We start from the raw sequence: 17,303 nt of genomic DNA, 5'->3' as shown, positions 1-17,303 counted from the left end.
ATATCATTCTCCAAGATTGATCTACGGATTACTGCCATACCACTCAAAATCTAGGAAGAGGTTTTGGAGAAACTGACAATTCTAAAGCTAATAGGAAAAGAAAAGGACCTGGTATACCCAAAGCAACATTGAAAAAGAAGAATAAAGTTGGAGGATTTACACTTCCTCATTATAAACTTATTATAAACCTATAATGATCTAGCTACTGTGGAACTGGCATAAAGAAAAACAAATAGATCAGTAGAACGGAATAAAAGAATTCAGAAAGAAATTCATGCAATGTATACTCAGTTGATTCTCTTTTCTTTTTTTTTTAATTTTTATTTTACTTTAAGTTCCAAGATACATGTGCAGAATGTGCAGGTTTGTTAACATAGGTATACATGTGCCATGGTGGTTTGCTGCACCGATCATCCCATCATCCAGGTTTTAAGCCCTGCATGCATTAGGTATTTGTCCTAATGTTCTCTCTCACCTTGCCCCCCACCCCTCAACAGGCCCCAGTGTGTGATGTTCCACTCCCTGTGTCCATATGTTCTCACTGTTCAACTCCCACTTATGAGTGAGAACATGCAGTGTTTGATTTTCTGTTCCTGTGTTAGTTTGCTGAGAATGATAGTTTCCAGCTTCATCCATGTCCTTGCAAACGACATGAACTCATTCTTTTTTATGGCTGCATAGTATTCCATGGTGTATCTGTGCCACATTTTCTTTATCCAGTCTATCATTGATGGGCATTTGGGTTAGTTTCACGTCTTTGCTATTGTAAATATTGCTGCAATAAACATACGTATGCATGTGTCTTCACAGTAGAATAATTTATAATCAGAGAGAATATTCCATGGAGGTTCAGTATTTCTTCTTTTCAGCATTTTCTGAAGTATCTCCAAAGCAGAAGTGTAGTCTTTTGCTGCATAAATAGTGGGGAATAAGATTGGCAACCTTCCTGAGACTAATTCATTGCCTCCGCATGATCTTTTTGTGGGTAGCCCTAAAATAATGTACTGTTTGTTTTTGTTTTTGAGACGGAATCTAGCTCTGTCGCCAGGCTGGAGGGCAGTGGAATCATCTCGGCTTACTGCAACGTCTGCCTCCCAGGTTCAAGCGATTCTTCTTTCTTCTGCCTCAGCTTCCCTAGTAGCTGGGACTACAGGCACACGCCACCATGATCATAGGAGAGTTTTGAAAAGAGGATTCAAACCCAGGCAGTCTCACTTGAGAGCAAAAGTTTTATTACTATGCTATACTGCATCCCTGATCTGAAAGAAGATAAACAAGGGAACTTATGGCTTTGTTGATAATTACAGGAAGTTATTTCATTATACACAGTTGTAATCCTTTGTTAAAAAAATAATGCTCTTCTAAAAAACATAAGCCAAGAATTTATCAGACAATTGCCTTTCTTATCTACTCAATTAATTCTATTAATATAATCAACACTCAGCTTGCTAAGTGAGAGATGTTAAAAGTGCTAGTTTAGAACATAAGGATTTTCTTTCTTTTTTATTCTTCTCTTATAGGAAAACCCTGATTACATCTTGCTTCACACATCATAAGGTCACTGCTGGGTAATGCTGTATTTAAAATTATGTAATTGCAAATCTTCCTACTATAATAAAGAATTTAGAGCAGGCAAATGCAATCAGTTATGTCAGATTTGAATCAAATTATTTAAGTATTATTTAATTAAGCACACAGATTCTCTAAAGCAGTGCTTCTCAAGCTTTTTGTAACTCTTCATTTTTCACTCAAAACATTTCTCTGAGCAAGGTATTCAGATTTTTCTTTCTTTATGTTTCTCATATATAAAAATATATTATAATCTCAAACGTGTTTTCAAATTCGTCCATATCTCCACTTCTGAATTCCTGTTAGTCTTCCATATATCATTTTTATCCCCTACTCCTCAATTTGATAATCCCTGCTATAACACCTGGGCAGTTTTTGTTTGTTTGTTTGTTTGTTTTTTTGAGACAAGGTCATACTCCCATCTCCCAGGTTGGAGTGCCATCACAGCTCACTGCAGCCTCCACTTATGGGGCTCAGGTTATCCTCCCACCTCAGTCTCTCGAGCAGCTGGAACTACAAGTATGAGCCATCATGCCAAGCTAATTTTTTGTATTTTTAGTAGAGACAGTGTTTCACCATGTTGCCCAGGCTTGTCTCAAAGTCCTGGGATCAAGTGACCACCCCACTTGGTCTCCCAAAGTGCTAGGATTATAGGCATGAGCCACTGTGCCTGGCCGCAATTCTTTCAATAGTCTTACTGCTCCCTGACTCCTCTCCATATCACCTTTATTCTTCTCTGCTGTCTCTCAGCTATGCCCACTATACCTCCTCATCAAGATATAAGGATATTTTAGAATCTGCCAGAATTTGAGCAAATATTGCCTCAATTTTATTCTGTCCTTTAACGGATGAAATAGTTAATATTTAGTATTTGTTAAAGGATAAATAAAGATACAAACAAGAACAGCAAAGCTCAAATATTAAAACCCCACAAACCCGATTTTCTTTGCTATTCTTTTGCAAAGGAAATTGGCAACATTCCTGCTGAGGCTTGTTAATTCTGAACAGACTCAAGTGCACCTCAACAGGTTGTAACAAAAAAAAAAAAAAGGAAAAACAATACTGTAAAAGAAACTCAATACCTTTGTACCTTTGTTTGCCTTTACAGAAAATAGACTCTTCAGTTTTTCATGCATTGTTTTTGTGCAAACAATAAATAAGCTTGTAGAATATCTTCTTATGGGTGCTGGGATAAACATTTGTAAAGCAGGCCAAAGGGTCCTAGGTGTAAATTTCATGGCTGAGATATATGAGAAAGACCCAGAATGTGATGAAGTCACATTCTCTTAGGAGATAGAAGAAAATAACAATAAGAAGGTAACCTGTGGAGTGGAGTGGGAAATTCTGCCACAGTGAAAAGGGCAAATGATCAGTATGAAGAGAAAAGGCCTCAGCAGAGGTCTGGAAGTGATAGCCCATCTGGGTGGGGAAATACTTTTTAGAATGAAAGGGTTGGAAATGGGGACCACTAGAGAAAGGAAATAAATCCTACTGCTTCTGCTAAGAAAATCTGTCTGCTCACACTGCCATGTGAATCCTGGGACTTCAGAATAAGCTGGAAGTTGGTCATATTATATGATTAAAAAGCAGTTTTTGCTTGGAGTTCAAGCACAACTCTGTTCACTTACTGGTTGTGTGTTTCAGTTTAGGTTGTTCTTTTATCCTCTCTAATTCAGGTTTATTTGTTTTTATCTGTTCTACCTAATTTACAGGATTGATATAAGGATTAAAATAAGTCATATGTAGATATTTCATAGCACTGAAACTAGTACATGGATATTGATCATTAAGTAATGCTCTTTAAATTATTAAACAAAAATTTTACCTAAAGAAGGTGACTACAACTGCTATTGTTTGAATGTGTGTCCCTCTAAAATTCATGGAACTAACCCCTATTGTGATGGTATTAAAAAGTGGGCATTTTTAGAGGTGATTAAGTCATGGGAACTCCATCTTCATGAATCAGATAAGTGCCCTTAAAATATAAGTTGAAGGGAGCTGTCTTGGCCCTTCTGCCAAGTAAGGACACAGAAGGAACCATCTATGAGGAATAGACCCCTCACCAGACATTGAATCTACTGGCACCTTGATCTTGAACTCCCAAGCCTACAGGAATGTGACCAATAAATTTCTGTTGTTTATAAATTACCCAGTCTATAATATTTTAATATGAGAGCACAAATGCTCTAAGTCATTAATATAACTGTCATGGCCATGACACCTAAAAGTCTAGAAAACAAAGAATCTGGGTATTAGACCTAAGAAAATGAAAAAAACTAATATTGAATATTTGACTTTGCTTGTATTCATCATATATTAAAGCACATACACTCATGAGATAAAACATTGACTTATAGTGGCAATTAATCACTGCTAACATTTTAGAGGTATATGCCATGTGACAGACACTGCTCTCAATAGTTTTAGGCTTAGACACATTTTACCATATTATATGGTTTGGCTCTGTATCCTGGCCCAAATCTCATCTTGAATTCTACTCTCATAATTTCCCTGTGTTGTGGGAAGGAACTGGTGAGAGATCCTGAATCATGGGGGCGGTTTCCTCCATACTGTTCTCATGACAGTGAATAAGTCTCACAAGAGCTGATGGTTTGATCAGAGGTTTCTGCTTCTGTGTCTTCTTCATTCTCTCTTTGCCTGCTGCCATCCACGAAAGGCGGGACTTACTCCTCCTTGCCTTCCATCATGATTGTGAGGCTTCCCCAGCCACATGAACTAAACCTCCTTCTTTCATAAATTGCTCAGTCTCGGGTATGTCTTTATCAGCAGCATGAAAACGGACTAATACAGTAAATTGGTACAGGTAGAGAGGACTGTTGCTGAAAAGGTATGACTTTTCAGTGGAACTGACTTTGGAACTGGGTAGCAAGCAAAGGTTGAAACAGTTTGGAGGGCTCAGAAGAAGACAGGAAAATGTGGGGAAGTTTGGAACTCCCTGGAGACTTGTTGAATGGCTTTGGCCAAAATGCTGATAGTGATATGGACAGTAAGGCTGAGGTGGTCTTGGATGGAGATGAGGAACTTGTTGGGAATTGGAGCAAAAGTGACTCCTGTTATGTTTTAGCAAAGAAACTGGTGGCATTTTGCCTGTGCCTTAGAGACGTGTGGAACTTTGAATTTGAGAAAAATGATTTAGGGTATCTGGTGGAAGAAATTTCTATGCAGCAAAGCATTCAAGAGGTGGCTTGGGTACTGTTAAAAACATTCATTTTAAAAGGGAAACAGAGCATAAAAGTTTGAAAAATTTGCAGCCTGACAATGTGAGGTAGAAAAGAAAATCCCATTTTCTGAGGAGAAATTCAAGCCTCCTGCAGAAATTTGCATAAATAATGAGGAGCCGAATGTTATCCCCAAGGCGATGGGGAAAATGTCTTCAGGGCATGTCAGAGGTTTTCAGGGCAGCCTCTCCCATCACAGGCCCAGAGGCCAGGAGGAAAAAGTGTTTTTGTGGGCCAGGCCCAGGGTCCTAGTGCTGTGTGCAGTCTAGGGACTTGGTTCCCTGTGTCCCAGCTGTTCCAACTGTGGCTTAAAGGGACCAATGTAGAGCTCCAGCTGTGGCGTCAGATGGTGTAAGCCCCAAGCCTTGGCAGCTTCCATGTGGTGTTGAGCCTGTGGGTACACTGAAGTCAATAATTGAGGTTTGGAAACCTCCGCCTAGATTTCAGAAGATGTAAGGAAATGCCTGGATGCACAGGCAGAAGTTTGCTACAGAGGTGGGGCTCTCAAGGAGAACCTCTGCTAGGGCAGTGTGGAAGGGAAATGTGGGGTCAGAGGCCCCACACAGAGTCCCTACTGGAGTACCACCTAGTGGAGCTGTGAGAAGGGGACCGCCATCCTCCAGATCCCAGAATGATAGATCCACTGAAAGCTTGCACTTAGTGCCTGAAAAAGCCACAGACACTCAATGCCAGCCCATGAAAGCAGCCAGGAAGGAGATTGTACCCTGAAAAGCCACAGGGGCAGAGCTGCCCAAAACCATGGGAACTCACCACTTGCCTCAGCATAACCTGGATGTGAGACATAGAGTCAAAGGAGATAATTTTGGAGCTATAAGATTTGATGGCCCTGCTGGATTTTGGACTTGCATAGGCCCTGTAGCCTTTTTGTTTTGGCCAATTTCTGCCATTTGAAACGGTTATATTTATCCAATGTCCATGGACCCCCATTGTATCTAGGAAACAACTAGCTTGGTTTTGATTTTACAGGCTCATAGGTGGAAAGGACTTGCCTTGTGTCAGGTGAGACTTTGGACTGTGGACTTTTGAGTTAATGCTGAAATGAGTTAAGACTTTTGGGGACTGTTGGGAAGGCATGACTGGTTTTGAAATGTGAGGACATTAGATTTGGCAGGAGCCAGGTGCGGAATGATATGGTTTGGCTCTGTGTCCCCACCCAAATCTCATCTTGAATTCTACTCTCATAATTCTCACATGTTGGGGGAGGGACCTGGTGGGAGATAACTGAATCATGGGGGTGGTTTCTCCCATACTGTTCTCATGGTAGTGAATAAGTCTCACAAAATCTGATGGTTTGATCAGGGGTTTCTGCTTTTGCATCTTCCTCATTCTCTCTTTGCCTGCTGCCATCCATGTAAGATGGGACTTGCTCCTCCTTGCCTTTCATCATGACTGTGAGGCTTCCCCAGCCACATGGAACTGTAAGTCCAATTAAACCTCTTTCTTATGTAAATTGCCCAGTCTTGGGTATGTCTTTATCAGCAACGTGAAAAAGAAGTAATATACCATAACATGAGAGGTAGATTCTATAACTATTTTGATTTTACAGAAGAAAAATCTAAGGTTTGAACTCTAATGTCCTAATTTACTAGCTGCATACCCATGGGTTATTCATGAAATATCTCTAATCCTCTGCTTTTTGTGTATATAAAGTGAAAATAATTCTATCATTTGGCCTTCTCACAGAAGAAATTAAAAGATGGCCAAACTAACTCATAGCCTTTTCTGGAGCCACTTAGAAGATACAGATGGAAATATAATTTGTTTATTCAATACGTATTATAGAGCTCCTATTATGTTCTAAACATGGTCTAGTTACTTGGATTACTTCAATGAATAAAATATTCCAAATTTTATGGATCGTATAGTCTAGTTGAAGTATAGATAATATAATACTTTTCAGAAAGTAAATTATATCCTATATTGGATGGCAAAGAATATAATGGCAAAGAAAAACAAAAAACATAGAAGAGGGTAAAGGATAGTGGAGTTGCTCCAAGGGAACACCTCTTATAATAATAAATATAGTAGTTATCATGAATAGCATTTGAATCAGATGAAGCAGGTAGCACAGATATTTGAAAGCAGGGGTGTTAGAAATAACTAGAGCAAAAGCCCTAAAGTGAAGTATTAATAACACGCAATTTTCAACCGTGATATTTTAGACTTAAGTGATGGTATTTGTCTTCAGATATTTTGTGAAAATAGGCTGAAAATTTTGTGGAACAAAAATTACCAGGATGTAGTCTATGGCAGACCTGCTAATAGGTTTATATATCTATATATATCTGTTATTTTCCAGCAATTAAGTACAATAATTTTCCTGTTTTTACAGTAGAGTTACTAAAGGTGAAAATAAAGATTTTTATTTTAATAGCTTCACAACAAATGGAAACACAGTTTCCCAAAGGCCTTTAAGACTACTATGAAAGTATAAATTGTCATTTGATCAGGTAGGAAATTGTTACCTGTCTTCACATAATTTAGAGCAAAGAACAATAAATATCACATATAAAGAACCCCTACCTGGGTTATGTAGTAGAAGAACATTTGTGCTAGATTTGCTCCTGCATGGAATTAATGTGGGGAATAGACTGACAAATACAAGTTGGGAGGAACCGTGTGGCCAGTGAGAAGTAGGATTACCAGGTTTCTCTGTCTAAAGTATCTTTATGTATCAATTACAACATGACAAAGTTGGATGGGACATTACTTTGATAACCAACTCTTCACCCAATTAGGGAGAAAGGAATTCCCATAGGGTAATGGAAGTTCCCTAGCTTGGACAGATGAAATTGATAGCACTTTTATTAGCCACACGTACTCATAGCTTAGAAGAGGAGGGCATCGCATAACATGCAGGGCCATAGCATGGTTGTTCTTGGAAGAAAATAAGAGTAATAAGCCGGGAATGTGGTAGGTAGCTTTGTGGCACCAAGAGAGTGAAGTGACACCTCATTCTCACATGAGGGTGAGACTGGCTTGTTTGAATAATTTTGCAGTTGGCTGAGACTGAAACCCATTACTCAGGAATAAGTATAAACTGCTCTTGGTTCCCTTGGTTAAGATAATTGTTTTGCTAAGGGACCTTATCTGTGGGAACAGAGTGTAGAGGGAAACTTGTAATGAGGCCATTCAAGGAACTCCCAGGTTTTGCAGATATCACGGCAGCACATAATATTGGGCCTTAACATTAGACCTTATAGGGTGGGCACGGTGGCTCACACCTGTAATCCCAGCACTTTGGGAGACCAAGGCAGGCGGATCACTTGAGGTCAGGAGTTCGAGACCAGCCTGGTCGAAACGGTGAAACCCCATCTCTACTAAAAACTCAGAAATTACCCAGGCATTGTGGCAGGCGCCTGTAATCTCAGCTACTCCAGAGGCTGAGGCAGGAGAATCACCTGAACCCAGGAGGTAGAGTCTGCAGTGAGCCGAGATCATGCATTGCACTCCAGCCTGGGCGACAGAGTGAGACTCCAGCTCAAAACAAACAAACAAACAAAAAATTAGACCTTATACCATGGAGCTGAGGAAGTTGGAGCCCAGGGAGATTGAATAATAAACTAATGTTACAAAGCAAGTAAGTGGCAAAGCTGTGTTATGAGGCATCTGATTTCCAGGCCTATCTGTGTATTCATTTGTAATATATATATTACTTGCTTTCTAAAAGGACTTATAGTGACATACCATAAAATGTGCATGGGAAATAAGAGGATCAAAACAGAAATTGAGTGCTGGCATTCAAGAAATTACATGGTATGGATTTTCTTCATACATTATTCATTGCTCAAGGTAATATTCTGCTTTCAGATTTCTCAGGCTTCTAGAGTGAAGCTTCAGAGCTTATCTTCCAAAATGTTGGATAGCTGAAATGTCTCTGTAAAATCACACACACACACACATATTTACTGTTTTGCTTTTGGTTAGACCAAGTTAAATTGAATTAAAAAAATAGTACAAATGAAAGATAGAATTGAAACCATGAAAGTCTGAGTCACTGCAAATTACATCAGGGAACTAGGGAGATTATGACCCAGGGACTTCTTTCATTTGTTTATGATACTCCTGTGAATATGAATTCAGCAAGCACTGTTCATATGAGTCATACTGCAGCTGTGCTCCACTCAGACCTTGGACCTCACTTGTCTCTTTGATCTGTAATACTTGTGTGATCTATATTTTATGCACATTCTTCTTTGACATTAGGAGAAATGTATCCTTTGCTCTGACTTCTCCTCATCCCATTTGCTTCTCTTAATAATTTAAATATAATAAAATATTGAATTTTTAGCTCTATAAGGATCTGAAGTGAATACATTGCATTTATTATCCAGTTGATCTCCTTTAAAGACAGACGACTGCTTTCAACCCATTCTAGCTCGCCTTTCATTAGTGTCGTTTGCTTTCCTTTCTGTCTTAACCTGCTCTAAATCACTTAGCTTACCTTTAACTACAATCCCTCTCTCTCCTCCCTATTTGACCTGTAGCCTTCTTTTATCATCTTGCAGATTCTCTCAAAGTAAAATATCACATGTACTTCAACCCAAGACTTAAAAGGTTCACAAGGTAAAAAGAAGAATAGCCACATTTTTCATTAACTACCAAATGCATCTTCTTCAAAATTACCATTGAGATCGTCCCAAGTAAGTGAATACTCTTCTATAAAAGAATGAACAAAAAGTCAGAATGAGCACCCAAGTTAATTTTTTAGGAGTCTAAGTGGAGACATTTATAATACGATGTGAAACATAAAGAATATGTGACCATTCCACCTGTAATTTCTCCTTATATATTAAATTACAGATGGAATGTTCACATATTCTTATGTTTCACAGGTGATTGTAATCATCAGGAGAAACGATAATAGACCTTAGTTCTTAGTTCAAACTTTAGCTTCAGCATTCATCTACTGAGATTTTGAGCAAGTTATTTAAATGCTCTATGCCTTAATATTTTTCACTGTAAAATGTGATAACATTACTTATTTAAGTTTGTTGGAAGCCTTAAAAATATACTTAAATAATTTCTAAGAGTATCAGGTGGCTGAGAAAGAAGAATGAAAGAAAAGTAACCTATTTTGATTGCTTTTAAGCAAGTTTTTCTTCTTTCTTATAATCTTAACTCTCCATTATTAGTCTTCTTAAAATAATTCATACCTCATTCTAAATTTATATTCTTAATCAGGCATTTTCTTCAGTAGGAAACTAAATTTTACTTCATCGTTTCTTCATAGGAGTAGTAGCAATGGTCAGAAATGCCAAAGAATATCTTTAGGACAACTTATGTTCTCTAAAATCATGTAGCTGCATATGCTATTTTAGAAAAGTGTAACTGTTGATGAATAGGTGAATTACTTGAATTTGATAACCAGGAACTCATTAAAATTAAAATAAAGATAGATATAGTTCATTCATGTATTCAGTCATGCCAAAGACTCTTTGGAAGGCCTATTCTAAACTACACTTAAAGTAGGCATCTAGGACAGCAACAAGCATAAATCCCTGATCTAATGAAGCTTATGCTCAAAGCCCAACCTGATTTCAAATATATGCTCCAGAAGTATAGGTCAGGAGGAGGTATTGCATACGGAAGCATTTTCATTATAAAACTAAGGGCTATAGTTTGAATGTTTGTCTCCTCCAACTTGTATTAACAATTCCCAGTGTGGCAGCATTGAGATTTGGGACCTTTATAAGGTGCCCTCATAAATGGATTAATCCATTTATGGATTCATGGATGAATGGGTTAATGGTTTAAAAGGTTATCATGGTAGTCATACTGGTTGCTTCTTCAGAAGAGGAAGAGAGACCTGAACTAGCACACTCAGCCCCCTCACCTAGATGATGCCCTCTTCCACCTCAGGACTTTGCAGAGTTCCCACCAGCAAGAAGGCCCTCACCAAATGCAGCCCTCATCCTTGGACTTCTCAGCCTCCATAACTGTAAGAAAAAAAATCATTTTTCTGTATAAATTACCCACTTGCAGGTATTCTATTATAAGCAACAGAAAATAAGCTAGGATAGTAATGAAGCAAAGTTCCAGAGACCCTCACTTACACAGAACTTTCCTAAGGTCCTAAAATGTGCTCTAAAGAAAATGTGCTCACATGGTCACATATTTTTTTTAAATTTGAAAAAAAAAACATTTTAACTAAAATTAGTTATGACTACTTTCTATTTCCACTCCAACTTCCCTTATGCCACCCGATTTGTAGTTACTGTGGGCAATTTTGAAACTCAGCCAAGGGAAGACTGAATCTGGAGATACATTTTCTTCAGATTTAGTAGGTATTCTGTACCTGTAGTCATATTCATGTATAATCATATTAGCTATCCCGGTATAAAAATGGCTCCTAGGACTCTTCTTACTGCTTACTGTGCCAATAAATCTTGCAAAGTACATCAAGGTGAAGAGTTTAAAGTTGCATTGCAATATGAATATGCTCCATAGTGTGTGACATGTGGAAACACAGTAGACGCAGGGTTTGAAATATGCAGAGCCAGAACTTCAAAAAAGGAAACAAACAAAAATACCTGTATCCATTTCTCAAAATCCTCATGTAATAATTATAGTTTGTCTGTATGTTACATACTCAGAAAATATTTTTTAACATTAAAATGCCAGGATATAAGATCAATTATATTATATGCAATTCCCTCTGAATCAGAGTTCTTCCATGACTCCAGATTGGCTACTAAATTAAGTGCAAACTTCTCACCTTAAAGGTGAAGCCTCTGAACCAGTCTGTCCCTGCTTTGCCTCTCATGCCTTATTTCTCACTCCTCCTTCTCATGCAAACTACACGTCAGCCAAATGTTTCTAAACAAATGTAAAGTGTCCCACATTTCTACATTTGTTTTTATTGGTTCCACTTTCTGGAATTACCTTCCATCTTTCCACAAGCCTTCTCTTAACACCAGTTTGTTCAGGTTAAATTCTATTCCATCCTTAAAAAAGTAACAAAACTATGTCTCTCCTGAAATTGTTCTTAACTGAACCCTTAATCTGCATATAAACACAACCTCCTTTATATTATATGGGTTTTATTCCATTTTTTATACATAAAACATATATTCATACTAATATGTACTTAAACTAGATATAATTATATTCAAAATATTTTTTAAAATTTGGAAAGTTTATCTGCTAGAGTGGGTTAAGTTATACTCCAGAAACGTCCTGTATGTCAGTAAGTGACTAATTAAAAAATATGTATTTATTTCTTATGTTACAAGAGAGAAAGAGAAATCATAGTAGTGAAAAGACTAAGGCATTTGAAGCTCAAACTCTGCCTGTGCTACTTAATAACTTGACTTTGCATTTGCATTATTGGGCCATTTTTGGACCCAGCTTTAGTGTCTATAAAATGCAGATTGTAAATCTTCATTTTATTGATTGCTGTGAGGGTTTAAACTAATCAGTAAAAAGAACCTAATACTTTTGCCAGGCATATCTGTTAAATGACTAGAAAATGGTATTATTGTTTTTAATCATTCTTACCAGTTTCTTCATCTTAATTTCTTCATGGAATCATTTCAAATGCACACAAGTTTTTAACATTTTAGATATGTCTTATAGGCATGTTTCTCATATATTTTGTAAAACAAATTTATATGATCAAAATAAATTCAACCTATATATCACTTTATAACACACAAAAAAGCTTCCATATATATTTGTAAAATTTATTAAGCCTTAAAACCAACATGTTCAAACATATTATTAAAATCTTTTCTAGAGAAAAAGAAAGTAGGGCATTGTGGTAGGCAGAATATTTGTCTCTCAAAGATGTCTGTGTTCTAATTTATGGAATCTGTGAATATGTCAGGTTACATGGCAAAGAAAAATAGAGATTGTACAATGAAGTAAGGTTGATAATAAGCTGGTCTTAAAGTAGATTGGAAAACTCTGCAGCTCATGCTTGTAATCCCAGCACTTTGGGATGCCGAGGCCGACAGATCGCTTGAGCCTAGGAGTTCGAGACCAGCTTGGCAAACATAGCAAAACCCTCTCTCTACAAAAAATACAAAATATTAGCTGGGTGTAGTGGCAAGCTCTAGTAGTCCTAGCTACTTGGGAGGCTGAGGTGGGAGAAATGTTTGCATCCAGGAGGTCGAGACTGCAGTAAATGGTGATCCAGTCATTTGTACTCCAGCCTGGATGACAGGGTGAGACCCTATATGAAGAGAGAAAGAGAGAGAGAGAGAGAGAGAGAGAGAGAGAGATTATCCTAGATTATTCAGGTGTGCCTGTTATAGTCTGAATGTTCATGTCCCACAAAATTAATACCTTGCATCCTAATCACCAAAATGATCACATTAGAAGGTAGAACCTTTGAGAGGTGATCACATTATGAGGGCTCCATCTTCATGAATGAGATTAGTGCCTTTATAAAAGAGGCCCCAGAGAGCTGCCTTACCGCTTCCACCATGTGAGGACACAATAATAAATATAAACAGAAGAGGGTCCTCATAGAACCTGACCATGCTGGCACCCTCATCCTGGACTTCCAAGCCTCTAGAACTATAAGAAATAAATTTCTGTTGCTTAAAAACTATGAAGTCTAAGGTATTTTGTTATTGCAAGTTGGGCCAACTAAGATAGTGCCCAAAGTCATTACAAGAATTCTTAAAAATGGGAGAAGTAGTCAAAAAATAGAACCAGAGATGGCAGGAGTCAGCCCAATATTTCTGGCTTTGAAGATGGAGGAAGGAGCCCAGGAGCCAAGGAAAGTGGGTGGAATCTAGAAGCTGGAAGAGGGAAGGCTCTTTTTAGAGCCTCCAAAAGCCCTATTTACAACTTGAGTTTAGTGTAATCCATGTGAGATTTCTGATCTTTGAAATTATAAAATAATAAATATATATGCTTTAAGTCATGAAGTGATAATATGTTATAGCAGAAATAGGAAAGTAATGTAGGTTTTGTTACCTGGAAGTGATGTGATTCTATCACAAATATCTAAAAATGCAGAAGTGGCTTTGTGTTTGAGCAGTGAACAGAGGCTGGAAGAACTTCAAAAACATCATAGAAAAATCCTAGGTTGCCTTTCATGTACTATTAGTAGGAACATGGATATACATAATTCTTCTATTGAGGGCTCAGGAGAAAATGAGGGGCATGGGAGAGAAAAATATATATAATCTTAGAGAATGACTTAATTGTCACTAAAAGAATGTCAGTAAAAATATGCACATTTGCTAGGCATGCTGGCTCATGCCTCTAATCTCAGCACATTTAGAGGCTGAGTTGGGAAGATCACTTGAGCCCAGGAGTTTGAGACCAAACTGGGCAAAATGTTGAGACCCTGTCTGTAAAATTTTTTTTTAAAAATTAGCCAGGTGTGGTGAGATACACCTGTAGTTCCAGCTACTTGGGAGGCTGAGGTTGGAGGATCACTTGAGCCTGAGAGGTCAAGGCTGCAATGAGTCATGATCATGCAATTGCACTCCAGCCTATGTGATAAAAAGAGACCCTGTCTCAAAAAAAAAAAATAAAAATTAAAATTAAAGGTATTGTTGGTAATTCCTTAGATGAAAAGAGAAATATGTTTTTGAAAACTGAAGGAAAGGAACTCTTATGCATAGCTGCAAAAAGCATAGATGAAATGTTTTCTATACTTATGTGAAAAGCAAAACATAAATGAAGAATTTTAATACTTAGCTGAGGAGATTTCCAAGCAATGTTTTAAATATGTAGCTTAATTTCTTCTTGCTGCTTACAGCAAAATGCAAGAGGAAAATAAACAATTGGGGAAAGAACTATTAAGCAATAAAGGAATCAGGATTTGATGACTTTGAAAATTCTCAGCTTACTTGGATTGCAAAAGATGCTAAAATTACAAATTTACTGTCAGAAAAGCCTTATTTAGAGAAAAAAAATACCCTGAAAGTATGGCTGGACAATCTTTTTTTCATATCTCAGAAATAGGACGTGGTTTCGTTCACTATCTCAGTAAAAGCTAAAAGTAAAGATGAGATTATCTAAGAAAAATCTGTTGAGGAGCCTCTTGTCTAATACACAAGATATTCTTAAGGTTCTTGAAAATGTTATATCAGCAGAAACATCACTAGATGGACTGAAGAGAGAAGAAAACTATGTTAAAGAAGATTGACAGACCCCCAAAATTCAACAAGCAAGAAATGTGCCAATCAAACTACTCAACTACAACCAGGTTCTACTGTTGATGAAGTTACGATTATTTAACAGTGGAGCCACACTCCCCAAAAATGGGGCCAAGTCTAAAAAGAACTTTTCCCAGGTTCTGAAAGACAATGAAGGGTTTGGGCTAGATTATTCAAGTAGGCCACGTGTAATAAAAATAATCATTAAAGTAGAAAGGGGAGGCAGAAAAAGGGGATCAAAGAAATGAATGTGAGAAAACGAAGACTGGCCAAAGAGATGCTATGTTACTGACTTAGAAAATAGAAGGTATCCATTAGTTAATAAAAGTTGGTGGCTTACAAAGCTGAAATAGGCAAGATTCTTTCTCAAGTATATTAGTTTTACTTATGCTGCCATAGCAAAATACCTTAGACTGAATAATTTTTAAAGAACAGAAATTTTTTTCTTACAATTCTGGAGGCTGGGAAGTTCAAGACCAAGGCACTGGCAAGTTTGTTTTCTGGTGAGACAGCTCTCTGTTTTCAAGATGGTGCCTCGTTGCTACATCTTCCAGAGGGGACAGATGCTGTATTCTCACAAAGCAGAAGGGATGAATGGGTAAATTCAATCCCTCAAGCACTACTCTATTCATGAGTACAAAGACCTCATGACCTAATCACCTTTAAAAGGCCCCATTGCTTAACACTATTGCACTGGGGATTAAGTTTCAATGTAACTTTTTGAGGAAACTCAAATATTCATGTTTTTCTTGCATTGAAGATATATTCATATTTTAATAAATATCCCCAAAGTTTTAAATTGCTCCAAAATCAACTCAAACGTTTAAAGTCCCGAATCTTATCTAAATATCATCTAAATCTGATGGTGACACTTAAGGTACAATTAATCCTATGGCAAATTTCTCTCTAGTTGTGAGCATGTGAGATCAAATAAGTTATGTGCTTCCAAAACACAAATGTAGGACAGACAAAAGACAGATATTTCCATTCCAAAAAGGAAGGAATAGGAAGAAAGAGGTAATAGGTCTCAAGTAAGTCTAAAACTCAACAAAGCAAACATTAAATTTTGAGGCTGAAAATAATTATCAAGGAATAATCCTTCCTTGACTCTATACCCTTCCTTCAGAACACACTGAGAAAAGGGTTTGGCCCCTAAGGCGCTAGGCTGCCCAACCCTCACAGCTTTGCTGAGCACAGCCCACACTGTTCCTTTAATGGATTTGTATCTTGTACCTGTGGCTTTCCCAGGCTGGCATTGCACACTGGTGTCTTTACAGATTTGGAGTACCCTAGAGGCCCTGATCCAATGGTTCCAATATGTTTTGTCATATTGGAGGCTTTCTTCCTGGCCCCATTCCACAGCTATGCTGGGCATTGCCCTAGTGGAGTTCTCTCCGACCCACCTGCCCCCATGGCTCCACTAAACATTGACCTAATGGGGACTCTCTGCAGTGGCTTCAACCCCATCGCTTCAGTAGGCATTGCCCTAGTGGGAATTTTCGGTGGTAGTCCTCCTCCTGTAGAGTTCTTTGCCTGGGCCCCAAAGCTCTCTAATGTACCATTTGAAATCTAGGTGTTGGTTTTGAAATCTAGGAGTTGATAGCTATGCCTCCACAAATCCTGCACTCTGTGCACCTTGAGAGTTGACACCATGTGCATTTTGCCAAAGTTTACAGCTTGTGACTCCAAGCAGCAGTTTGAGCCACAGCTAGGACTGCTTGAGCCACAGCTGGGTCAGCTAAGGAGAGCTGCACTGTGATTTTAGAGCAGAGATTTTAGGAAGCTCTGAGTAGCAAGCCCTAAGTTTCCTTAGGTACCCTTGTTTTCTTCTTTTAAATTGTCCTTTCCACAAGGCCCTGGCACTTTGGGCCTGTGATAGGAGTGGCAGGACCAATAATTTCTGAAATGCTTTAAGGGTCTTTCTTCTATTGTCTTGATGGATAGCATCTGACTTCCTTCTATTCATACTAATGTTCTTATCAAAACGTCACTTGGCTACACCCTTGGTATTCTTTCCCAAACACAGCTTTTGATTCTTTAAAATCTGGTCAGGCTGATAATTTTCCTAATCTTGAAGCTCTGCTTCTCTTTTAATTAAAAATTATGTCTTTAACTCACTCTCCATTCTCAACTTTTACTATAAGTTGCCAAGAGAAACCATGCAGCACTTTGAACACATTGCTTAGAGATGTCTTCTGCCAAATATACTAGTTTGTTGCTCTTAAATTCTGCTTTCCAAAAAGCAATAAAATATGGACATAATCTAGCCAAGTTATTTGCCACTTCATAAGAAATGTTGCCTTTTGTCTAGTTTCCAATAACATATTTCACATTTCCATCTAAGACTTCATCA

General features: G+C 37.9%; 2 annotated features.

The window, feature by feature from the left end:
- Positions 7,902-9,101: an enhancer, noted in NCBI's record as "MED14-independent group 3 enhancer chr11:23380849-23382048 (GRCh37/hg19 assembly coordinates)". NCBI's record gives its function as "activates an origin of replication core promoter dependent on BRD2, BRD4, P300/CBP and CDK7 cofactors, and independent of MED14, by STARR-seq in HCT116 cells {active_cell/tissue: HCT116}" and the evidence as "EXISTENCE:reporter gene assay evidence [ECO:0000049][PMID:35650434]".
- Positions 9,553-9,722: an enhancer, noted in NCBI's record as "experimental_20960 CRE fragment used in MPRA reporter constructs". NCBI's record gives its function as "activates a minimal promoter by MPRAs in K562 erythroleukemia cells, with activity observed for the non-introgressed 11:23380313 variant allele {active_cell/tissue: K562}" and the evidence as "EXISTENCE:reporter gene assay evidence [ECO:0000049][PMID:34662402]".

Source organism: Homo sapiens, chromosome 11, assembly GCF_000001405.40.
Source record: "Homo sapiens chromosome 11, GRCh38.p14 Primary Assembly".
NCBI classification, from domain to species: Eukaryota; Metazoa; Chordata; class Mammalia; order Primates; family Hominidae; genus Homo; species Homo sapiens.
Note: the sequence above shows the minus strand (reverse complement) of the source record. Positions and strands in the feature narration are given on the sequence as shown.